The sequence below is a fragment of the Homo sapiens genome, chromosome 5 (assembly GCF_000001405.40).
Source record: "Homo sapiens chromosome 5, GRCh38.p14 Primary Assembly".
NCBI classification, from domain to species: domain Eukaryota; kingdom Metazoa; phylum Chordata; class Mammalia; order Primates; family Hominidae; genus Homo; species Homo sapiens.
The window spans coordinates 115,123,400-115,150,588 of NC_000005.10; the positions used below are offsets into that span (position 1 = coordinate 115,123,400).

The window sequence follows — 27,189 nt, forward strand, 5'->3', positions numbered from 1 at the left end:
TAAAATAAAATAAAATAATTCAATAATTGGTTATTGTGCCAAAAAATACTTCCCTGTCAGTGAAACTGAATAGTTCTGGAGAAATATGCTTTCTCAACTATACACCCATCAACCAGAAGAACCCATGCTTGGTTTTAAAGTTAAGGATAGGTTTACTTTTTATTACTCTTTTGTTTGGTTCGAATATTTCCAGTGATTTCCAGGTCAAATGTTTACTTTGTTCATCACCATAAAAAAATTCCAAGACACATAGATTACACCAGGGCAGTCTTCTAGTCATCTAGAAATCAAATACTGAAACCCTAGGGAATCTGGTTCCATTCTTAGGCTTTATGTCCCATGTTGAATCCTAACAGCATTTGAAAGCCTACTATGTGCAAAACATTATAGGTTGTTAATAACTGCAATAGTAACATTGCATGTAAAAATATTACAAACTTCAGTGGACATCATGCACTATGGATACATATTCTACTAGAAGGAAGGATGTTTTCATATTCTCTTGCATAAACTTGCTGCTCTAGCCTATGGACAGATTATTTCATCTTAAAAGATAATTAAAACAGAAAAAAAAAATAATGGAATGTTTATAAACATATGCAATTGCCAATATGGTTTGTTGTTTTATTTTATGTTTGTTTTTTTTCCACAGGAGAGCAGAAGAAAAACTTATGGTTCATAAATGCTTAATCAAGTGTCGTTGATTCTCTAAAATTTCTCCTCAAAGATGCCTGGCAAAGTATCTCCAAGAGCTTTTAGCATTCTATAATCACGCATTCTGATTTGTTGCACAAAGGGAAAAATAAAATCTAGAATTGCTTAGACGGTAGAACTATTTACAGTATTTTATAAAACTGGGCTATATTAAGTACAGTGTTACAAGGTGGTTACTATATTGTACTATTTAGTAGATACTTTCTGATGTCTTTTAGTATATAACATTTGGTTTAAAGATGAGTATATTTTGAATATATTAATTATAAACACAGCATTTTGGTATTAAAATGTTGACCCTCAGATCCTTAGTCAAGATATAACTTTTACCATATTTTTCCTTTGGGGATAAAAGAACAAACTTGCACTATTATTATTAGCTTATGTAATAAAAAAATAAAATTTTATATTGTTTTATATTAAAAAAATTTAATATATGAAACAATTGAAGTTTTATGTTAAGCTTCTCTAATAATCACTTTCACAGAAATTAAGCTAATAAATAAATGTTCAAAATGATTTCATATAAAACTGTAGCTCTGAGTTAATATGTACAGCTAATCATCTTTTCATAATCAGTTTGTTTCAACTTTTCATGTAAACATACTAAAAATTCCTGGAATGCAGATCTGAATAATTACACATGAATTCTTTTTAATTTTTTATTAAAAATGAAAGAAACACAGCTAAACAATTTATTTACAATTGCACAAGGTTTGAAACAGCTATCCTATTCCTGTTAAAGCTTCACATTTAAAAATGTCTACATCATATGTGCTTGTACAAGGCTTGAGTATCAACCACAAATGTGACTTTAGCAGCTTTATTGCATAATGATCCACATAACGCTGCATTATTTGCTTAGTTTAGCCTACATCATAAAGTGCTATTCATAGATGGGAAATTAACAGCCTGCTAAACACTGAAGTTCTCCATGATATTTGCTACTTGAGTTGAGGGTAAAAAGCTAATTTAATGCTACCAGCCTGAGTAACAGATTTCCATTAAAAATATAACAACAAGGACAACCAAAAAAAACAGGCCTAAAAGTTTTGGTTACCCTGTTAAAACATGTCAAAAGCATTCCATAAATGATTACTGCTACAATGCATAAAAGTAGTTTCTGAATATTTTAACCTCAAAAAAATAAGTACTTTAAATAAAAACCACCTACTTGAAAGCAACACCTTTCAAAAACAGACACACAATTTAGATAGAATGTAATTCCTCAAATTAAAAGATATTTTAAAGGGTACACAGTCATTGTGATCTTAGTTATCATTTCTAAGTAATTAAATTTGTATTTTTACTTGCTTATATTAGAAATGCTTATTACCAATGAGAAACAGAAAATGCCACATAAGTGAACATTTAAATGTTACAAAAATTTATAATATATGTAACGCTACTAAAATATATAATGAACTTTTCAAACATGTAAATATAAATCAGGAAAACCTGATATGTAATAATTGGGCCAAAAATGAAAATCACAAAACACAGTAAGGGGGTAAAAGAATAAATATGACTTTTAATATCAGTCCATCTTTACCAATATATCTGAAAAATAATTCTTTGACATAAGAACAAATATTTTCACAGAATAAGAAAAACTAAAGATAAATTTCTCTGAAAAAAAGTATATAAAGTGAGAAGTTTAATGTGTTAGCTGAGAACTTTGTGTTTTCTGCAAGAAACCATGCTTACTACCCATGCTGTTAAATGAGTGTTATGGCTAAGCAGACTCTTAAAATGTCCTTAGCAATACAGTTTGTGGTCTTAACAAAACAAAACAGTAGTATTCCTTTTCCAGGCAATATATTTTTAATAGTTACACACTTTAAAATACATAATTTTCCACTTAAATATACTACCACTTTTATGGTGTTTTTCTTTTAACCTATCTAGAACTTTGTTTTCCTATTGAAAACAAATGCAAGACACATTGCTTAGTACTAATTCCTATCCATAAGGCATTTAAAAAATATCTTCTCTTAGGACATAAACATGATATAAAAATGAAAAGTCAAACAGAAGAGAATCATAATAAATACTTTTGTATCCCCCCCACCATAAGGAAAGTGTCAGCAACACCAGCTGACAGAAATAAATTAGATATCCTGTACATAAAGTAAAAGACAGTCCAGTTGCAAAGTTAACCACTTCAGTATTAACTTGGAAAGAACATCTTCACTTTCATCATTTGTGAAAGGCAGAACAACGACATGAAGACACAAGGCTGTTTAGATTTTCTGTATTTCAAGAAGAATCATACTCAAACACAAGTGGGGTGACAGAACACTCAGCGATATGTAATTAGTTACGAAGGTTAACGCTAAGGCATTGCTTTGTTTACAGTTTTTATCCTGAGTCACATCAGATGTTTCAACTACATGTCCTCTTGGTATTCCAGATATTTTGCTGTGATGGGTTCTTCAAGCTGAATTCCTCCACTGCCCATTAATGCAAATGCTGGATACAGTGTATGTGAACAGTCCACTTGGCGTTCATAAAGGCATTTCATCTGATCCATATCATAGAAATCTACTTTGCCTTTATCACAGTCAAGGAAAATCCCAATACTTGTTGGCATAGGGAGAACTCTATTTTCAGGTTCATTAGAAGAAGTAGGTGACTTGGGTATAAAAAATTTCTGCATGCCTATAGTAACTAAGGTAAATGGTTGTGAAGAATCAAAACAGGCATCCTCACTTCCACTGTCATGCCCACTGTCTTGCTCATATCTGAAACATAATACAAAGCATCTGTATCTTCAACAATAGATCTAAGTATCTTCAAAACATTTTCACAGGATAATATACATTGATGTAAAGTTAAAATAGTTTTTACATCAAAAGCTTTCTATTAAAACAAAATCAAAAACATAAAAATGACACATTACAATTTAGAATTATACCACAGACTCAGCCCCAAATTCCCTGTCATTAAACACTGCTTTAGTTATATACAGAAGTGAAACCCTAGAAAATCATTGATAATTTTAGCCTTCCAAAAAGTGAGGGAGCGGGCAGTGATAACTGGTCAAATGTTAAATTTTTATAGCACACAATCATGTACAATCATGTACCACAGAACATTTCAGTGAACAACAGACCTCATATACCACAGTGGTCCCGTAAGACTATAATGAAACTAAAATATTTCAGTTGGGTGCAGTGGCTCATGCCTGTAATCCCAGCACTCTGGGAGGCCAAGGCAGGAGGACCACTTGAGGCCAGGAGTTCCAGACCAACCTGGCCAACATGACAAAACCATATCTCTACTAAAAATCCAAAAATTAGCCAGGCATGGTGGTGTACGCTTGTAGTCTCAGCTACTTGGGAGGCTGAGGCATAAGAATCACTTGAACCCAGGAAGCAGAAGTTGCAGTGGACCGAGATAGCACCACTGCACTGCAGTCCTGGCAACAGAGCGAGACCCTGTCTTAAATAAATAAATTCATTCATTCATTCATTCCTATAGCTTAGTGACGTGGTAGCCACTGTAAGGCTGTAGTGTAACCCATTACATGTTTGTGGTGATACTGGTGTAAACAGTGCTTAAAGTTGTTACATAAAAGTGTAACACATACAATTATGTACATTATGTAATATTTAATAAGTGACTGTTACTGGCTCATGTATTTATTATGCAATGCTTTTATTGTTATTGTAGACTTACTCCTTCTACTTATTTAAAAAAATGTTAACTGTAAAACAGCCTCAGGCAGGCCCTTTAAGGAGGTTTTCCAGAAGGCAGCACTGTTATCCTAGGAAATGACAGCTCCATGTATGTTACTGCCCCAGAAGACCTTCCAGTGGGACAAGACGTGGAAGTGGAAGACGATGATATTGATGATGTTGACCCTGGATAGGCTATTATGTTTGTGTCTTCATTTTTAACAAAAATGCTTAAAATGTTAAAAATTTAAAAAATTAAAAAAAAAAACTTGTAGAACAAGGCTATAAAAAAAATTGGGGGGGGCCAGGAGTGGTAGCTCACGTCTGTAATCCCAGCACTTTGGGAGGCTGAGGAGGGCGGATCACCTGAGGTCGGGACCAGCCTGACCAACATGGGGAAATTTCATCTCTACTAAAAATACAAAATTAGCTGGGTGTGGTGGCGCATGCCTGTAATCCCAGCTAGTCGGGAGGCTGAGGCAGGAGAATTGCTTGAACCCAGGAGGTGGAGGTTGTGGTGAGCCGAGTTCATGCCATTGTACTCCAGCCTGGGCAACAAAAGCGAAACTCCATCTCAAAAAAAAAAAAAAATGTATATAGATGTACAATGTGTTTGTGTTTTAAGCTAAGTGTTCCTACAAGAGAGTTAAAAAGTTTTTTTAAAAATTGAAAGTTTAGGCCGGGCGCGGTGGCTCACGCCTGTAATCCCAGCACTTTGGGAGGCTGAGGCGGGTGGATCATGAGGTCAGGAGATCGAGACCATCCTGGCTAACAAGGTGAAACCCCGTCTCTACTAAAAATACAAAAAATTAGCCGGGCGCGGTGGCGGGCGCCTGTAGTCCCAGCTACTCGGGAGGCTGAGGCAGGAGAATGGCGTGAACCCAGGAAGCGGAGCTTGCAGTGAGCTGAGATTGCGCCACTGCAGTCCGCAGTCCGGCCTGGGCGACAGAGCGAGACTCCGTCTCAAAAAAAAAAAAAAAAAAAAAAAAAAAAAATTGAAAGTTTATAAAACTAAGGTTAATTTCTTAAAGAAGAATACATTTAAATAAATTTAGTGCAGCCTAAGTGTATAGTGTGTTTGTAAAGTTTACAGTAGTGTGCAGCAATGTCCTAGGCCTTCAAATTCACTCATGGATGCACCCAGAGAACTTCCAGTCCTGCAAGCTCCATTCATGGTAAGTACCCTATAGAAGTATACAATTTTTTATCTTTTATAACTTATTTTTATTGTACCTTTTCTATGTTTAGATACACAAATACTTACTGTTGCATTAAAATTGCCTACAGTATTACAGTACATGCTGTACAGGTTTGTATTCTAGGACCAAAGACTGTTCCACATACCCTAAGGGTGTAGGAGACTATTCCATCTAAGTTTGTGTAAGAACACTCTATGATGTTCTCGCAACAATGAAATTGCCTTGCAATATATTTCTCAGAACATATTCCTGTTGCTAAGCTAATACATAAATGTATAAGAAACTACAGGCCAGGTGCGGTGGCTCACGCCTGTAATCCCAGCACTTTGGGAGGCTGAGGCAGGTGGATCACCTGAGGTCGGGAATTCGAGACCAGCCTGACCAACATGGAGAAACCCCATCTCTACTAAAAAAAATTAGCCGGGTGTGGTGGTGCATGCCTATAATCCCAGCTATTTGGGAGGCTGAGGCAGAAGAATCGCTTGAACCCGGGAGGCAGAGGTTGCGGTGAGCCAAGATCGCGCCATTGCACTCCAGCCTGGTCAACAAGAGCAAAACTCCGTCTCAAAAAAGAAAAGAAAATACAAAGATAAGATGTATGCCCTAAACCAAGGATTACCAGGCTAAGTGAAATATATGAGCACTGTAAAATAATGCAAGAGAAAAAAGCATGTTTCATTCTCATCCTAAGAACTCTATTTCCTGGTTGGGATTTCATCATGGATGTATGAAGCAAACAAAGATTATGAAGCTTTTTCACCTTTATCATAAAACAATAAAAAACTTATATAAAATTTTGAAACATGTTCCCCATTTTTTTCAATATGCCTATGTTGCTTTTTATATATTTTGGATAATACTGCATCAACAACGTTTACTAGGTTTCTCCACTTCTAGTATTTCTCATGTTATGAACTTTTTAAACATTAATACTAATTTTCTATCAAGTGGACATGTCACTATGTTTTACTGTTAAAATTTTCAGCATTATATAAATTTTTTATCTTTCTGAAGAAAGCTTTTCCTATCATTCAGATTGTTAAGCTGGGATACTGTTCACATGAGTGGTCAAAAATTATTTTTCAAAGCTAGTTGACCTTATTCCATCTAAAAGAACTGAACTGTACAATCTTCATTAGTCAATCTCTTAAGAAACTGGAAGTCTTTGCTGCGGAAATATGTCTACCATGACCCAATTTTGAAAAGGACTTATGGGAAAGTTTAAAGAAACTGTGTCCCATAAGAAAAGAACAACTTAACTGTGAAGTATGACAATCAGACGCATTGTATTATATACGTGGGTAATTTTTATGACATAGGTAACATGTTAAAGACTTTCAAAATTTAAAACTGTGAAGCTATATCACAATTAAGAGATATCCAAAATGGATTTCCTCATGATATTAAAAAGTAACTGCTAACTCTCCTTATTCAATGTGTGATTACAAGAATACCCGGCTCCTTTTCTCAATCAAGCCACAGCCAAAATACTAGAATCTAAGAAATAAGAAATGTATACTCCAAATGTAACAAAGCCAAATCTATTTTCAGGCTTACTTTTAAAAAATTATCAAGTTCTAGATCAATACAAAAACCTACCTTGGACTAACTGCATCCCGGGGAGAACGGAGCCATTCTTGTAGTTTATCGCTAGAAGCAACTCCCACTTTTACCAGGTATGAATATGGTTCCACACGGAAGGCCCAGAAGTGTTTTCCTTTTGTAATGCCAGTATCTCCAATGATGTAGTCTAAGCTTGTGTAATAACCCACTTGGATGCGTTCTGCAGCAAGCAGAAGATTAAATCCAGCTCTACTCTCTACACGGTCTCTCTTCAAGTTCAGCAGGAGGTGTTCATTATTATAGCCACATTTTTCATCAAAGAGGAAGCTGAAAACTAAATGGAGCTTAAAATTAATATCAGGCTAAAAATTATCATTGCTCTAGTTTGTTAAATCTGATAGGTTTTCTTACAGAAATTACTGAAGAGAGACAGGAAGCGGGAAGGAGGTGTCACACTACCCCGGACAACTATGACAAACCAAAACCCAACTTAGCAATATATCTTATCCAGTATATTGTCTACCTAAAAATCTTCAGAAATCTCATAAAGCAGATGTAAATATTTTAAATATATGTGAAAATTTATAAAAACAGCTCTTTGGAATACAGATAGCAAATCTATCACAGGTATTTCACACTATTGAATTTGTTCTTTTATCTTTATTAAAGATAAAAAATAATAAAGAGTTGTAAATTTTCATAAATAGTTCTACATTTTCTTATTGAAAGTTTTGTTAATTTGGGTCATTTTAGCTATTTTAATAAAGCTTTTTCTGTATCAACCAACATGGCAGACATAAGAAACATGGGACACTGTAAAAAAACAAAAACAAAAACACAGCTTTTGGGTTGAGAGAGACCTGGGTTTGAATCCTACTCAAGCATTCAACTAGAGTTTCATCTAAACTTTAATTTATTCATCTGCAGAATGATGATACCACTCCCATAAGTCTGTATCAACTCAAATATATTAAGCATAACATTGGCTGCTAGCCAATGGGGAAACAACAGAAAGTCCATCAACAGATGAGTAAAGAAAATGTGGTATATACATACAATGGAATATTATTCAGCCTTAAAAAGGAAAGATTTGGATACATGCTACAACATGGATAAATTTGGATACATACATTTGGATACATGCTACAACATGTATGATACATGCTACATGTATGGATAAATTTCGATACATGCTACAACATGGATAAATAAGCCAGATGTAAAAGGACAAATATTGCATTATTCCAGTTATATGAGATACCTAGAATAGGCACATTCATAGAGACAGAAATTAGAATCAAAGTTACCAGCCTCTGGGGAGAGGGGAAATAGGAGTAACTGTTTAATGGGTACAGGGTTTCAGTTTAGAATAATGAAAGTTAAGGAGGTAAAAGTGGTGATATTTAAACAATACTGTAAATGTACTTAATGCCAATGAGCTGTATACTTAAAAACTGTTAAGATAATACATTTTATCTTTATTACACCACAATTTAAAAAATGACCCCCAGGCATCATAGTGCACACCTTTAGTCCTAGCTACATGGGAGATAGGAGGATTACTTGAGTTCAGGAGTTTGAGGCCAGCAAAGGCAACATAGTGAGACCCCATCTCTCTCTCTCTCTCTATGTGTGTGTGTGTGTGTGTGTATATATATATATACATATATATATATATTTTAAACAGGCTGCTAGCAGCTGGGCCTGGTGGCTCACGTCTATAATTCCAGCACTTTGGGAGGCCGAGGTGGGTGGATCACTTGAGGTCAGGAGTGTGACACCAGCCTGGCCAACATGGTGAAACCTGGCTCTACTAAAAATACAAAAATTAGCCAGGCATGCTGGTCTGCATCTGTAATCCCAGCTACTACTCAGGAAGCTGAGGCAGAAAAATTGCTTGAACCCAGGAGACAGAGGTTGCAGTGAGCTAGTGAGCTGAGATGGTGCCACTGTACTCCAGCCTGGGTGACAGAGCCAGACTCCACCTCCAAAAAGAAAAAAAAAAAAAAAAAAAGACTGCTAGCAAACTACAGCCATTACCCACGTGTGAGCTGACCATTCTTCCTGCTAATGCCTCTTTTCCTGGCATGATTATTTGTGCTTGCTCTCAATCTCAAAAGTCTCCCAGTTTGCAAAATAAATTTAAAGGGTCACCCTAGTCACGTATCTTCTCTCATAAAAAGGAAGACAACTGTTAACACTTCCTCTCCTCCCTTCCCCTCCACTATGTGACTGAAAACAGCAGTTATGTCCAGGTTTTTCTTCCACTTTCAGGCAGAAAGACTAGAAAAGGAAGCAGAAATAGCATAAACCATAAAATAGTTACTTAATACCTGCAAATTCATCCCAAAACTCTCTATTGGATTTGATTAAAATTTAAGAAATATAATTTTAGCCAATCTTCCATGTTTGTATTCCAATTTTTTAAAAGCTACAATGTGCATGAAAAACAAATTGTGCTTTTCTATTTTGAACAAAAAAGGAAGAAAGGGGAGAGTGAAGAAAATATGGGTACATAAGACACTAAAAAGAGGCAAGGGACAGTGGACCTAAAATCCAATTAAAGGCATCTCTGAGGCAGTGACTGAAAGGGGAAAACGTTTTCCTGCTAACCAGGCTGAGCACAATTTTGGTTCTAAATATCCCTTGTTCATGGAGACATCATAGTGAACATCAACGAACCTTTAAAGTCATTCACATTCTATAAAAATCTTTAGGCGCTCTATATGTAGTATCAGTGGTTTTTAACTTGGGAAGGGAGGGGGCGATGACTGGGCATAAGGAGCTTTTAGCGTGGGAGGAAAAGCTATTCATGTGGTTCTAATATATGGCTTCCATCCCTATTATCTGAGAAGTGCCTAGTTAGATAAAAAAATCCAGACAAATCAGAATTAGGTTAAATCAAAATTATATTTTAGGATATTAGACCAATAAATTTTAAAAATTATGTTTTAGAGATTTCCATAAACCAAAAATACAGAATTATATATTTAAAACTTTTAAAATAGCATTTATGCTATTTAAATCCCAACTTACTAGCTCTGCTCACCCAAATTTCTTCCTTCCATGTTTTTCTCTATCTGACATCAGTTAAAACCCAATCCTGTTCTCAGCCTACAAGGTAAAAATTCAAGTACTCAGTTCATTTCTAAAGCCCAGCTGGGATAGAAGCTACTTTTCTGGAGTCTTTTAAAAACAAGAGCTGGTTTCAGTGCAGGTCTACATGGAGATACTGACTAGTTTATTTTATCAAGGTCTCTTGCAACTAACTCTATGCTTTTTTTATTCCTGATATTCACCATACCTGGAGCTGGAGGAGTATGAAGAATCAATTCTCTGCTGCAAGGACTACAGATTGAACCCTTGTAAGCTCTTACTCTGAAAGCATAGGTACTACTGTTTTCCAAGTCTTGAATTATTTTACTTGTTCCACACACTTCTATCTCATTCCATGACATTTCATCATCTCTATTGATTTTCCGATATTCAAGAACATAGCTATCAGCTTTATCCTTTTCTGGATGGTGCCAATTTATCAAGGCATTGTTATAAACTTTGCTCTGTTCCTCATTGATCTCTGGCACGTCTATGCCTGAAAGAATTATGAAATAGAAAACAACATTAAAATATTGACATTTGAAAACCAGTGTTTTTCCTCAATAAAATGACATATAAACAGTATTTAATGATTTCTATACTAATACTTTTCTAAATTTATAATACTATATATAGAAAGCACAAAAATTAAATATATTAAATATTTTTTATATTTAAAAGGTATATCTATATTTGTAACTGAAAGGAGAAAGAAGAGTAAAAAAGACAAAAACTGACTCAAAGCCACAAGTAAATTTTTTTTAACCACATGCCTTCTACCTACTGAATAACAGCCCAGGACTTGAAATTTTTTTACCTATGTCCTCCCCTAAACAAACTATTATTTTAATATTTTAAAATCTAAGTCTGGTAAGAATATCAAACTCTCAATGAATTTTTTTTTTTTAAGATGGAGTGTTGCTCTGTTGCCAAGGCTGGAGTGCACTGGCATGATCTCAGCTCACTCCAACCTCTGTCTCCCAGGTTCAAGTGATTCTCCCGCCTCAGCCTCCCAAGTAGCTGGGATTACAGGTGCGTGCTACCACACCTGGCTAATTTTTTGTATTTTTAGTAGAAACAGGGTTTCACCGTGTTAGCCAGGATGTTCTCGATCTCCTGACCTCATGATCTGCCTGCCTTGGTCTCCCAAAGTGCTGGGATTACAGGCATGAGCCACTGTGCCCGGCCTCTCAATGAATATTTTATCATTTCTTTGCATAGTTTATTCTGTAGAGTTGCAAAGCAAATTAATTTTTCTAAATAAAATCATGGTACATATTTTTATAAGGAAATCAGAAACTGAAAAATACACATTAAAAGATTTTAACTAACTCAAAGGTAATTACTATAACCTTTTTGTATAGATCTCGCCAGTATTTTCCCCCTCAATGGTATACTACCTACATGGATATATCAACATTTAACTGTTTAGTTTTGGAAACAGGTTTCTGGTTTTTCACTAAAAATAAAATGATTCTAAATCTTTATTCATATGCAAAGTCCTTTCTATAGAGCCAATTCCCAAGCTTAACTGCTGGAATCATATGCTAAGAACAATACGCTATAAAAGCTACACACACACATTTATGACAAATCACAGAGAAGGACATGAATAAGAAGCAGAAGTCTCTTTCCTCTCCTTATTCCCCAATGTATAAGCATTTCTGTGTATGCTGCATTTATACAACTGAATGTTATGCAGCCATAATGAGATCTGGAAAGTTATTCAAAATACATTTTAAAATTTAAAAAAAAAGTTACAGATTAACAAATAGTATGTCGCCTACCCCATACTCTTTTTCTTTCTTTTTTTGAAACATAGCTTACTAAAAAAAAAAAAATGCATGTAGCAAAAAATGAGGGGAAGATCCATCAGCCAGAAGCTAGGTGACTACTATCCCATTCTCATCCACCTGTTTTATTGGTTCCTTGCTATACAGTGGTATAACCCAGGATAACCCACCCTCAACCTTACCTTTCCAGCAACCATTTTGGGATCCACAGGGAGGGAGGACCTAGGACTCACAAGTAAGCAAATATCTATTTGTATATATACTATTCAAGCATACATTTTGGAAACACAGTATAGTGTATGAAATACAATCAGCATTTTAAGTGATGACAAATATCTATTTGAAAAAATAAGACGGTCATAGTAAGTAAGTATCAGATTCAGGTATAGATTTGAAAAGGAGGTCACAGTAATCCTTCAGAGTTTTAAACTTTTAACAAGACAAATTTCCTTGTATTAATGTACAAATCTACAAATCTGCACCTATAAAGTAATTATACTATAAATATATCTTTGTAGTGTTCACCATCACTAGAAGAGAAATCTTAGGGAGAGGAATGAGGTGAGAAGAAGAAAAAAAGGCAAGGAAGACCTCCCTGCTAGGGAGTAGCAAAATACAAACGTAAGCAAGTGTTATGGACTGAATTGCATCCTTCCCCAGTCCCCCAGACCCCACCCCTCGCCACTGGAAATTCACATGTTGAAGTCCTAACCCCCAGTACGTACCTCAGAATGTGACTGTATTTTAAAATAGGGTCTTTAAAGAGGAAATTAAATTAAAATCAGGTCATTAGAATGGGCCCTACTCCAATATGACTGGTGTCCTTATAAAAAGAGGAGATTAGATCTCTCTCACACACACACAGAGGACCATGTGAAGACACAAGGAGAAGATAGCCATTTATCATTTATCAACCAAGAAGAGAGGTTCAGAAGAAACCAACCCTGCCAACACCTTGATCTCTGACTTGTAGGCTCCAGAAATGTAACAAAATGAATCTGTTTTGAGTCACTCAGTCTATGGTACTTTTGTCACTGCAGCTCAAGCAAACTAATACAGCAATGTAAACAGCCTGCAGATTCCATTCCTAGGCTTCTGTCCAAGAAACTCACATACACTTGCCCAAAAAACTCTGACAAGGATGTGCGACACAGCGTTGCTCATAAAAGAGGAAAAAAATGGAAAAAAAAAGTCTCTTAGTAGGAAAATGATTTACTTATGAAATACTGTAAACAGTTAAAATATTGCTTTACACCAAAATTTCATATATTTACAAGTATTTATGTTAATTTTCTAAAAAGCAATTTACAAAAATACATACAACATAATGCTATTTATGCAATGTTTAAAAACACACAAACTAATGGAACATAGTTTTTGTGCATAAAAATATAGTTTTAAAAACATAAATAGGATATGATTTCAGGATGCTGTGATAGTCCTGGGCAAGTGAGATGCTGCTTTATAATGTCAAATTTAAGAGAACTTGTGTTTTCTTCCACACAATACAAATTCAGACAAAAAGAATGAGGTTTTTGCCTTCATTAAGACTTACCACTAGAGAAAAAGGATAATTCTCCAAGAAGTTCTGTTTGTTTAGAGGTATTAACAACATAGTCTTCAAAAGAAGTCTGAGCTGCAGGTCTAAAGCTCTTCAAAGATTCTGTGGCTTTCTGTATTCTGCAGACAGATATTTTATATAAAAATGTTTCTTTAAGAAGTCAAATCAGACTAAATATCTGCAACATGATTAACAAAATAAAACCCACACTTCACTCAAAATTAAAGTTAAGAATGAGGCAAGATGTACCTCACATTAACACAGCATTATGGACCAATCAGAGCTAAAGTGAGAATACACAGCAGCATTTAATAACATTGCTCAATAGGTTCTAAAGTTAGAAGTAAAAGAGAATACCTGAGGTGGAGCTGCTTTGCTGTCTGCACAAAGCAAGACTGATCTGTCTCCTTTAGCACTTCTTGAGCATATCCCACAAGTCCATTGTTCTCTAGAAGTCCCTGGTACTCTTCCATTTGAGTCTGAAATTTGTCTAATCTTAGTTTCTTAGAGGAGTCAATTGCTTTCAAAACAGATGATTTCCTCTCTTCCAGAACTTCAAAGAGCTTTTCAAAATGTGTAATTGCTTCTTCTTTAGCCCTCTCTCCATTACACTAAGAAAAAACAGTATCTCCATTACACTAAGATAAAACAAAGAATAGCCTCTTCTGCTAAACCCAAATGGCTTTCCACAAAGTTCTACATAATTACATTTCATCTATGTGATGACAGCATTATCAAAATTTGATAAAACCAACCTAGATATTATAAAGAAAAAAGTTTTATCTAACTCTGAAATTTTCAGAACAATATTTTGGCATCAAATACACTTAGCAAAGAACAACTGACAACTTTTATTCAGATTTACTTTGTAATTTTATAATATTGTACTTCCTTAAGCTTTTCATCTCCAAAGTCTGGCAATAAACAATTTAGTCAATTAAATAAGAGAATAATCTTTCAGTGGTATATAAAGGAATATGAAGGAGAAATGAACTGATTTAAACAAAAACAGGAAAACACAATTCCAGAACTTTGAATTCATTTCAAATTCAGAAATGTTTTCACCCTTTCTACGCTACTCCAACTTTTTAAAAAGTTGTTTTTGTTTTTTTGAGACAGAGTCTCGCTCTGTCGCACAGACTGGAGTGCAGTGGTGCGATCTTGGCTCACTGTAACCTCCGCCTTCTGGGTTCAGGTGATTCTCCTGCCTCAGCCTCCCAAGTAGCTGGGACTACAGGCACATGCCACCACGCCCAGCTTTTTTTCAATATTTTTAGTAGAGATGGGGTTTCGCAGTGTTAGCTAGGATGGTCTTGATCTCCTGACATCATGATCAACCCGCCTCGGCCTCCCAAAGTGTTGGGATTACAAGCATGAGCCACCGCGCCTGGCCTAAAAAAGTTTTTAGCCACAAAACTCTAAAATATGACATTCTTTACTAAGATATAAAAATAAAAGTATCCTCTTCACTTTAATATAATTATAATTAAATCCTGACTTAGCTGTGTGACCATATGCTAATCATTTCACTTCTCTTTCTGTTTTTTCTCTTCTGAAAATAGGGGATAAGAAAAACCATTTAGGTTTTTGTGAAGAGATTTTAAAAGGTTATTTACATAAAGTATATACCACAGTGTCACATACTGTAAATAAACATTCATACAAACTGTCATAAAATGACCCTAGTGTTTGTTAAACATTCTGAATTCCTATAAAATCAGAGCTCATGATTTTGAGAAGACTGGCAAACACTCCTAAGCACTTATTATAACAGACTCACAGACAGCAGCCAACAGAAAAAAAGTCTTCAAGAACATTCTTTTTTTTTGAGACAGAGTCTCGCTCTGTCGCCCAGGCTGTAGTGCAGTGGCGCGATCTCGGCTCACTGCAAGCTCCGCCTCCAAGGTTCACGCCATTCTCCTGCCTCAGCCTCCCGAGTAGCTGGGACTACGGGCGCCCGCCACCACACCCTACTAAATTTTTTTTTGTATTTTTAGTAGAGATGGGGTTTCACCGTGTTAGCCAGGATGGTCTTGATCTCCTGACCTCATGATCTGCCTGCCTCGGCCTCTCAAAGTGCTGGGATTACAGGTGTGAGCCACTGCACCCAGCTTTTTTTTTTTCTTTTTTTTTGAAACGGAGTCTTGCCCTATCACCTAGGCTAGAGTGCAATGGAGTGATCTTGGCTCACTGCAACCTCTGCCTCCCGGGTTCAAGCAATTCTCCTGCCTCAGCCTCCCGAGTAGCTGGGATTACAGGTGTGCACCACCAGGCCAGGCTAATTTTTTTGTATCTTTAGTACAGACCGGGTTTTACCATGTTGGCCAGGCTGGTCTCGAACTCCTGACCTTGTGATCCGCCCGCCTCGGCCTCCCAAAGTGCTGAGATTACAGGCGTGAGCCATTAAGCCTGGCTAAGAACATTCTTAAAAGCTGACAATATATGGCAGAAGCGTACTGTGCATTATCCATTGGCTTTCAGCCAACACCTATAATGAAAGGAAATTTTTTCCAGATCTCCTGTTTCCTAACCCCGACAGCCACATATTTTTAAAAGAGAAGGAGCAGAAGGTAGTGACATTTTGATAGTATTTCACTGACAAATCACAACATCCAACTCAGAAATATCATTATAGATAGATTTTTTTCAGCCAAGTAAAATTACAGATAAAAAAGACAGTGTCACCATCATCACTAAGTAAATGTCGAGAATGGAGGCAAGTTATCTAGCGTAAAAAAAATTCTTATTGATAAGGCTACAGATACAACTTAGGCAAATGATACAAAACAACTCAGTAATGTCCCCACTATCCCAAGGAATCAGTGTCTACATGAATACTTGACACCTAAGTTCCTCAATTTTTAACCTATTGATGACAAACCCCAAAACAGACTCTGGGTCTTCATTTCAGAAGTGAAGAGCAGCAGGACTGAGAGGACCAACAAACAAGGCTATTAATAAAATGACCAAAGATGCAACATTTGAAGCAACCTACTAAGGTGATCATCTGCTTTGTGTTGAGACAGTCTGTCACTTAATCCAACAAAAATATGAAAAAGAAAACCCCAAACTGCATGGAAAAATGACTGACTTAGGGTGGTGAATCAGTAAAGATCAGGAAAATAATATTAAAAACAAAAGCACTGCTGGTAGTGGTGTTAATTTTCGTGATTTCTCAATAATTTCAACCTATATTGGAAAAAAACTTCTTCAAGTAACAGTGTCATACTAGCTGGGATATTTTTATATTTAATTACTAAAAATCAGGAGTAATGGCTCAACTTTGTTTCAAATGGAGAAGAAAAACAAGTGTACAACAAAGTCAGTGAAGAATATCTGGACTTTTAAAACAACCCAATCCAATCCCCTTTTACTATTATTTTTAAAATGCTGTTATCTTTTCTAATTTTTTATTGAAACATAATACACAAATGGAAAAATGTACATGTAAGTATAAAGACTAATGAATCTTTACCCACACACTCAATATAACCAGCATCCAACAGAAAATCCAGATTAGATAAAAGAACATTACCAGTATCCCAGAAGCCTCCATATAACCTTTCCAGACACTAACCTACCCCCCTCCTCAACTCTAACATCATCATCTAGTTTCACCTTTTTTGGTACTTTTTAGAAATGTAATCACATAGTATGTATTCCTTTGTATCTGGCGCCTTCCTGTCGACATTACTGCAAGATTAATCTACCTGCTGTGTGCAGCTGCAGATCATTCATTCTTATTGCTATTTTTATTCTACTGTTAATGGGCATGTGGGTAGATCCCACTTTGTGACAATTACAAACAAGGCAGCCACCAACATTCTAATATATGTCTTTTGGGGAACATATATAGGGTATACACTCAGGAATACCGGGAATTTAAAATAAACCTGGCCCAATCTGCATACAGCACATTTTCCAAAAGTGATCTATTAATTTTTTAAAATATAATAAAAATAAGTAAAACCTATCATTTCCCTTATGTTACTATTAAATACTTTTGAGATCTTGTTAGTTGCCACACAAATAGTCATTTTTTCCCTCTGTGTTCCAATATCATTTAATCACTAGCTCTACCACAGAAGTGACCACACAACATTATAATTCATTTTTTACATTTGTTTCCATAGCCCCAGAAAAGCAGGGGTGAAATCTAACACAACTTTGTATTCCCAGCTCATATAATACTCTCAGGATTTTATGAACAAATGAATGAATGTCTAGATAAAATAACAATAATTTAAAATATGCAAGCTAGTTTATCACTTACCTCTGTTTCTTTCATTAACAAGTTTAGTTCAGATATTTGACTCTTCACCTGGCTTTCCTTACCAATAAGGTAATCAATATCCTTTGAAAGCTTTTCCTGTTGAAACATATTCGTAACACAAATAGACAAAACGGGAGTTTAGCAAAGACTTTGCAGAATTTTTTTTTAATTACACAGGACTCATCCTCTTCTACAGCCTCTGATAAACATAATAAAATCAACTATGGCAATTATCATTATTAACCCGGAGTAAACAGTTAATGGCCTTAGGCACAGAGGGCCAAAGGATGTATGAAAGATTAAAATCAGTTGGAAAAAAGAACAAGGTAATAATGGTTAAATTAGTCAAAACTTCTGAATATAAAAACAGTACATTTTTATTGTTTCATTATCATTCCTAGAGCTCCTGCTCCTAAGGCTTCTAAGTAAATGGAAGAACAGCAATTCAAATAGTTTTGTCTTCAGATTTTATAATTTACTCTCACAAACACCCACGTGCACACACACACACACCTATACACAATAGGAGTAGCAACAAAGAGACTTCCAAAATAATATTGACAGTTCATCCCAGCCTATTAAATAATTACACAATAATGAAAATATAGTTTTATAAAAATAGGCAATTTCCAGAGCTCTTTGAATAATCTGTCTGTAAGGAAGACCTTTTTAAATAAGTATAGTTTCTTTCCCACAGAAATACCATCCTAAGTTTTGGTGAGATCCCTGATCTTGCCCAGAAAACCTACTCTGAAATACACAAAAACCAAAACACAAAAGCCCCGAAACACCATGGGGTAAAAAGTTGTAACAGAAAAATGTATTGAGAGTCTAAATAAGAATAAGAACATCCAGAAAACACCTTTCAAGCTGTAGCTCTTAAAGGCCAATCTGAGCATTTCAGGCTCAATTACCACCGATGACTTGAAACGAAAAGGGTGCTCAACAAGAGGGCACTATTAAACACTAAACACTATTCCACAGGCTGAGAGGTACGTCTCAGCACCAAGCTGAAAGTAAAATGGCAATTCTAATAATACCATCCCTAACAGGCCTATGTGGAGATCAGAAGTACTAGGTGCAAAGTGGTGGTACTCTTTTTTAACTAGGGTAGCAATAAGATACATTTGGCCATTTAAATTGAAGTAAGGCTTAGTTGTATGATAGCAGCTTACATTAGAACTACAAGATAGGAAAAGATAAGTTAGTTGACTCAAAGAGGTAAGGACCAGAGAAGAATAGATGGCAGAATTCGGACACATGATGTAAAAGCACCACACTCTCTGAGTTTTAATGCTCAAAGTATCTGGCCAACTATACGTTTATCTGAGAATAGCTTTTATCTGAGACAGCTCCAGTCATAATAGTCCCCTCAAATCTAGCCAGTTTGTTTTAAAAGACTAGATCAGTTTTAAGCAAGAATCAGGATGTCCATTTATTCACAGGTCTCTAAAAAGTATATGTACCACACACTGAAAATAGGCATTGAAGATTAAAATGTAAAAAGACAAGGCTACCTCTTAACTCCTTTAGATAAATCAGGACCCCAGTTCTTTAGGAACTAATCAGAGGTTAATTTCTCAGGGACTTCAAAACTGCTCAGAAGCTTTCCTCTGGATCAGTGGTTCTCAAACACTAGTGTATATCAGAGTCTCCTGAGGGCAAACCAAGAACCCTAGGGAGATGCAGCTGAGTCCAAGGAGGCCATAGGTTATAAGGCATGTACCATAGGTTGTAAGGTATGTATCTAAGAAGAGACTGTTGTAAAGAGAAAGAACTCCAGAGACACAAACAGTCTCCCATACATATTCAGCAGTCCTCATCAACTCTTGTGTGTGAGGAAACTGTCCAAGCCCAGGCAAAGAATCACCCTACAGGTTCAAGGAAACAATCCCAGGAGCTTACACAAGGCTGGAAAGAGTGCCTGTTCCCCACCAGCCAGACAAAAAAAAAAAAAAAAAAAAAAAAAAACAAATCTCTAAATTCACAGGGCATTGAAAAGAGTAATCAAAGGCTTTTACTTCAATAGTCAGATAAAATTAGCCCTTAAAATTAAATGCTGTTCTGTCCTGCCTCACAAAAGACCCAAACGTTTCCAAGCAACCTAATCACATACTCAAAGAAAATAGCATTTGTAGAAATACAAAACTATCCAATAGCTGGCAGCCAATCAAAAATTACCAGGCATGCAAGGTAGCAGAGAAATATAAACTTTAATTAAAAAAAAAAATCAAAACTGACCTAGTAGTGAAACAGATGAGAGAATTAGTAGGCAAGAACAATTATACAATTATACCTGTATTTCGTATGTGCAGAGAAGGTAGAGCACAACATAAATATAAAATGCAAAACACAAAAGTTTGCATATATGCAATTAGACAGAGGCAAAAAAATGCATACACATACTGTTAAACAGAGGAAAGAAACAAAATGGGTAGTAGGTACATAGATGATTTCTTTTAAAAATATTGTTTAAAGGGAAAAAGAATAAAACGAAAAGATAGTAGTGTACTGCTGCCTTTGTTGTTGATTATGAAATTTGAAAGTTTTAAACATCATCAATAAAACTAACACAAAGGAAGTAATTCAGGTTTTTTTTTGTTTGTTTTTGAGACAGAGTCTCACTCTGTCACCCAGGCTGGAGTGCAGTGGCGCGATCTCAGCTCACTGCAAGCTCCGCCTCCTGGGTTCACAGCATTCTCCTGCCTCAGCCTCTTGAGTAGCTGGGACTACAGGTGCCCGCCACCATGCCCAGCTAATTTTTTTTTTGTATTTTTAGTAGAGATGGGGTTTCACCGTGTTAGCCAGGATGGTCTCGATCTCCTGACCTCGTGATCCGCCCGCCTCGGCCTCCCAAAGAGCTGGGATTACAGGTGTGAGCCACGGAAGTAATTCAGTTTTAAATGGTAAGTGTGCCACCAGAATGAACAAAATAGTAATTCTACAGGCAAGAAATAAGAATCAAGTGTCTTAAAACAGCCACAACCCTTTAAAGTATGTCAATCCTATGTATACATCCATTATCATAGACATTGGGCTCATTTGGGTATCATGATGAAGTGTCCTTCATCCTTCTCTTCCCTCAGAATTCAGAGCTAATACAACATAGGTGTCAATATATGCCGGGCCTTATCAGTACCACAAATAATTGTTGATCAGAAATACTAACAACCTAATATTAGTAGATCGCTAAGTAACACTTTAACTCATTTTAGTACAAAAGAGACCATATAACACACCATGATTTTATAAATGAAAAGTTAAAGGCATAAAGTAAAGTTACGAAGAATCAAAATTCTGTTCCAAAAATAAGTCCTACCTTTAAGGTTTTGTAGGCACTGCTCATAGTGGTTACACGGTGGTTGGCATGATTACCACCCAACTTACACAGATGGCAAACTGGCCTCCTACATAATTCACAGTACATGTTTATTCTCTCTGTTTCATGTTCTGGGCACATTAAAATCTATTGAGTAAAGAATAAAAGTGTGATTAAGGATCTAGGTTTCAAGTAATCTAACAAATTACCAAAATACAAAGATTTGCCTTATAAAATCACTAAATAAAGCCATTTAAGTGAATATGAATGTAAAAAGAAAAATGGTTGATACATCACATGAAAATTCTCTATATCGGAATTACTATTTTTCAATTTGAGGGTTCAAATGATTAATACGTAGATGTTGTCTACGGCCATACCCCTCTGAACATGCCTGATCTCGTCATAATATATAGATGTTATTTCTCCAAAACTTGTTAAGTTAGAGTTTCATTCCTATCAGATTCAAATGGAATGAACACTTAACCAAGTTAGAAAGGCCATCTGACCACACTGATGAAGCAATTCTTAATGATCAAAGTCAATATTTTTAATGAAGTACCATAACAATTTATGAGACTCATGGCCTCAGTAACAGAAATCTGTTGCTAAAAGAGTCTCAGAAAACTTTATAAGCTTCTAGATGTGTTTCCTTTTACAAATTAATTACAAATGCACTGACCAAATTTGGAACTGTTTTTCTGATTTCATTGTCTACCTTTTTATTTACTTTGTAAACTATTATCATAGAGGATTAAAAGCTATCAAATAACATAAAATTTTATGTAAAATAACTGTTTTCATTTGAAAGAAAGGGGAGATTCCTTTAAGTTAGTATGTTAATAAAATCAAAAGTTGTTAAAGATTCCAACAGATTAGATTTTAAGCAATTGTAACTTGTCTGATAACTTACAGACATTTATTTATTTATTTATTTATTTATTTTTGAGACAGAGTCTCGCTCTGTCGCCCAGGCTAGAGTGCAGTGGTGCAATCTTGGCTCACTGCAACCTCCACCTCCTGGGTTCAAGCAATTTTCCTGCCTCAGCCTCCCAAGAAGCTGGGATCACAGGCATGTGCCACCATGCCCAGCTAATTTTGTAACTTATAGACATTTAAAAGGAACGAACAAAAAGTACAATACAGAAAGTCCTAATACCAATATATAGGTTCAGGAGAAAAACAACTGGAAAAGGTTTCAAGTTTTTCAGCATGTCCAAGTTTCTACATCCCCAAAGCCATTACATTTAAAATAAAATACAAAGTTTGTCCATCTGCAAGAAATGATCAAAAGAACTCAACGTTATAGGCAAATATTCCATAGCATTTGCCTATACCATTTTGGACACCGTTTTAGAATTTTACTATATTGAGTAGCACTAACTACTTGAAAAATGAAATGTTTCTCAGTATAACCTATCCATGTTTCTTTGGTGTTCTCTTATCAATCTTTTATTATATTTGTAAATAGAAACATCAGGTTGAAGTCACAAATTTTTAAAAATTGATGGTCTTGAGCATTTAAAATGAGGAACATAATACAGGATTAAAAGCTATCTGATGAATCTACTACCAGACTGACACAGTTTGAGAAAGGTCATTCAAAATGTGATAGCACAGATTGTTTTTGCCTTAATCTACCAATCCTTTACTATTTAATATAAGAAATAGCTCACAGTTTCAAAAACACTTTTGAGATTTTTTTCCCCATTTTTTATTACAAATTAAAGGTTTTACACTTAAAAATGCAAGTAGATTTTCATACACAAGTCACTAAGTTATAAGGAGTAAGAACTTTGAAAAACTCAACCATAGGTTTTTAAAATCTATATACATCAGAAAGAAGGGAAGATATCAAAAGATCAGTTTCTTTCCAGGCACACAGCAGGGCAAACAATACATAAACTTCTTTTGAGCAATATTAAAGAAATTACTCAGAATGTTAAAGAAATTACTCAGAATGTTTAAGAAATGCAAATTCTACTCCAGATAACATATAACCATTATATCACAAACTACAAAGTATTAGGCTGTAATTACTTTTATTCATTGTACAATTTTAGCCAAATGCAACAAAAATATGTTTCGCAGTCAAACCTTTTAAGCAATTATGGATTTATGACACTAAAGCACAAAAAAGCTTTTTAACTTTAACCATTTCAATCTTAAAGAGTATATCTGAGATAACCTTTCTTTAATCAGAGTTATCATTACAAACATGCATTTATTGTATTATATCACACTGGATTGTAATAGAATAAACCACAATATTGCCCTCCTTTGGTGGGGATGTTTAGCCCCATAGTAAGTAACTCCAGCCAACTAGGCCTTAAGTTCTTATACCTGCTTTTAAAGTTATTTCCTTTCTGTCAAGTTCTAGACTTAATAATTTATTTCGTAACATTAAGTACATAAAAGTTTCATAACATTAAGTTAAAATAACATTCTAACTTAATAAAAACTTCACTTACCTTGGGTCTGAAGTTAGTAGTTGGACCAACATACTCATGTTGAGCTTTTATAGTACCCCAAGGGTGATGAATTTTGAAGCATTCATTGCAGTAACTTGCACTACAGTCCATGCAGCTTTTTGTGGATTCTTGAGGTGGTGGTTTACAAAGGTCACACATAATGGCTGTGGCTGCCCTAGCTGCTTGACGATATCTTTCCACAATAGTTTCCAAAGTGAAGTTTCGAAACAGACCATTGATTCCTCGTTCTCCAAGATCCACATCATGCTCACAGCCAGGGCAAGGGAAAACAGTTGTCCTCGGGGTCAATGAATTGCGCTTCCAGCCTGTGTAATTAGTAAGTCTTTGTTTAGTTATAGCAGTAGGAAAATGATTAGAATGAAGAAAAGAGGAGTCATGTCTTAGAGACATATCTACAAATGTATCACAAAAACAGTATCCGAAGTGGCTCCACGTGAAATTTGTATTGTGAAAATGTTTTTAAAAATTTTTCCTTAGTATACAAAAGACAAGCCCAAGTTATCAAATCAAACAGCAAATCAAAAAGGAAAATATTCTACAGTAAACCCACATAGAATCCATATTAAATCAAACATAGATATAAAGATAAAACACGTAATACAATACTACATGGCGTTAAGATCTTTTAAAATTATATAATTAGCATTTATAGTTACTTTTATACACCATATCCAAAGACATTTAAAAGAACAGTCTTTGCTGACTGACAGGAAATGAATCGATACATAAAAGAGCAGGGGTCCCTAGCACAAAGCCCATGAAGAGGCCCAGGCAGATCCATGAACTATTTGAAATTGTGCACAAAATATTCCACCTATATACATATACATATTTACTGGTAAAAACCCACAGCTTTTATCAGATTTTCAAAAGAATATGTGATGTGACCACAAAATTTTTAACAACACTACAATAGAAGCTTTCCCACGTAGTATTGTTTTATCTGGAAAAATTCAGTAGGGAAGATCATTAGTTAATTGAGTGCAATCTATAGAAGAGTGAAAAATTCATTCATAGACCTATAATTTAGTGATTTTTAAGAGGGACCAACCATTTAATAACTTCTTATGACCTGAAACAAAGAATCATTAAGATTACTTAACTCAGTAAGCCAAAAGTTACCCCAAAAACACTACAAATAATTTTACAACATATATAAAACAATGAATGACCTTAAACATCACATTTTTGTTCAGTATTATCCCAATTTTAATAAATCAAGAAACCAATGCATGACAGTCCTTACCCATTGGTTCACAGGAATCCAGGGTTGTCCATTTACGACAGGTGCATGCATATCACATTCCCTCATTTGTAAATCTGTTCTTTTTTTTTTTTTTTTTTTTTTTAGATGGAGTCTCACTCTGTCACCTAGGCTGGAGTGTGATCTCGGCTCACTGCAACCTCTGCCTCCCAGGTTCAAGCAATTCTCTGCTTCAGCCTGCCAAGTAGCTGGGATTACAGGCGCCCACCACCACACCTAGCTAATTTTTATATTTTTAGTAGAGATGGGGTTTCACCATCTTGGCCAGGCTGGTCTTGAACTCCTGACCTCGTGATCCACCTGTCTTGGCTTCCCAAAGTGCTGGGATTACAGGCGTGAGCCACCGCGCCCGGCCGTAAATCTGTTCTTAAGAGTATGCAGTCTTAGTTGCCCCAAAAATAACTCCCTTAACTTAAACACAAACTTCTTAACCTACACCTTCTTTCATACTATCATGTATCCAATACCAAAAATGAATGGCTGAATTTGGTATACCACATTACAAAAGGTCTTTAAACAGCTACATCAATATACCCTTTGCATATAACTGTCATCACTCAAAAGAATATCTTAAAAGATGTCTGACATGATATCAGTTCAGGTAAAATTTAGCAATCAGCCCATAATAATACTTATTGGAAGTGATGTTAATAGCATGCTATATGGCATTGGGCCCCAAAATCTACTTATACAACAAACATGCAGAATATTTTTAATATCTTCATTTAAAGATATTTTAACGTTTACATTTTTAAACATTAATGCATACAAAAAAGTTGCCCCATAAAAATTTGAAAATCCTAAAATATATTCAGATAATAATTCTAAAAGCATGCAATACAATCCAAACTCTTTCACACCACAGCAGGCATATCATGAAATAAGCAGCAAAGCTACTTTTAAATCACATGCCAATGAAAATTTCATTTAGGAAAGAAAACAAGCCAAACAATTCTGGAGATGGTATGGTGCAGTGGTCAAGTTTAAACAAATAGAAATTCATATATAATCGCAGGTTTCCACACATGAAATAGGTGATGAAAATTTAGATAAATAGAAAACTAATCTCAAAAGTGTTAAAAAAATGAGTTATTTTTGGTTTTATGAAGATTATGACCAATTAAAGTAACGGGATAATGAAAAGTAAATAATGACAACAAAATCAAGCTTTAACATGTATGCTGGTGACACCCAGAATTGGGTCCTCAGAAATTTGAAAAAAAAAAAAAAAAAAAAAAAAAAAGTTCATCCCTTTTCTGTTTACCTCTGCTACTGTGTTTTTACAGTGTAAAAAAAAAAAAAAAAAGGTGTGAAACACTAAACTTAAATCAGACATTAAATTAAGACATGTAATTTTTCACAACTCGTCCAAATAGATATCTTGGCTATCTTTCTAAACAGATCTTGAAAGCTCTTTTTTTTTGAGATGGAGTCTCGCTCTGTCGTCCAGGCTGGAGTGCAGTGGCGCGATCTCGGCTCACTGCAAGCTCCGCCTCCCGGGTTCACGCCATTCTCCTGCCTCAGCCTCCCGAGTAGCTGGGACTACAGGTGCCTGCCACCACGCCCGGCTAATTTTTTGTATTTTTTAGTAGAGATGGGGTTTCACCATGTTAGCCAGGATGGTCTCGATCTCCTGACCTCGTGATCCACCTGCCTCGGCCTCCCAAAGTGCTGGGATTACAGGCTTCAGCCACCGTGCCTGGCCCAATGTGCTTAAATATTTCTTACAAATGCTAAAGAACTTTTATTTCATCTGTCTTATATTTCTTTCATTGTTTTCATAAAAACAAACAGTAGATGTTCAGAGCAATAAAGAAAATGAGAATCTTAGGATATTCTGGGAAGTAATATCCTTAATGAAAAAATCAAGGCAATGGAATTAAGAACAAAATGGAAGAGTCAACTTTCTACTTTCCATGGCTGTGTCATCTGATACAGTAGCCATTAGCCACATGTGACTTTTAAAATTTAATTAAAATTAAGTAAAATTTAATATTCACTTATTTGGTTACCATAGCCATATTTCAAATTCTCAAGAGACACATGTAGCTAATGGCTACCATATTATATGACACAGGGTTGAACATTTCCATTATAGTAGAAAGTTCTATTGCATAGTATTGCTCAATTGCATTAGACAATGAAAAAGAAAAACAGAGGGATCATCACAAACTAGATTGAAGGACTATAACTAGAGGAAGGACTAGATTGCAGCTCTGACAGAGCAGCATGTGG

General features: G+C 35.4%; 1 protein-coding gene across 9 annotated transcripts in view; it reads right to left on the reverse strand.

Annotated features, from left to right (window-relative positions):
• Positions 1 to 1,372: 1,372 nt before the first annotated feature.
• Positions 1,373 to 27,189, reverse strand: part of TRIM36 (tripartite motif containing 36) — a 55,523-nt gene continuing 29,706 nt past the window's right edge. For 5 of the 9 annotated variants that reach the window (NM_001300752.2, NM_018700.4, NM_001300759.2 and 2 more), the window contains 8 exons: positions 23,670 to 23,995; positions 21,199 to 21,345; positions 17,880 to 17,975; positions 13,964 to 14,217; positions 13,601 to 13,725; positions 10,461 to 10,748; positions 7,193 to 7,490; positions 1,373 to 3,458 (listed from right to left, as the gene is read on the reverse strand). In NM_001300752.2, the coding sequence (NP_001287681.1) occupies positions 3,104 to 3,458; positions 7,193 to 7,490; positions 10,461 to 10,748; positions 13,601 to 13,725; positions 13,964 to 14,217; positions 17,880 to 17,975; positions 21,199 to 21,345; positions 23,670 to 23,828 (1,722 nt within the window). In that variant the 5' untranslated portion in view covers positions 23,829 to 23,995 and the 3' untranslated portion in view covers positions 1,373 to 3,103. Of the gene's footprint in view, positions 3,459 to 7,192; positions 7,491 to 10,223; positions 10,271 to 10,460; positions 10,749 to 13,600; positions 13,726 to 13,963; positions 14,218 to 17,879; positions 17,976 to 21,198; positions 21,346 to 23,669; positions 23,996 to 24,741; positions 24,763 to 27,189 lie in introns of those variants that run through there. The other 4 variants (XM_017009621.3, XM_017009622.3, XM_017009623.3 and 1 more) reach the window with 3 other exon arrangements.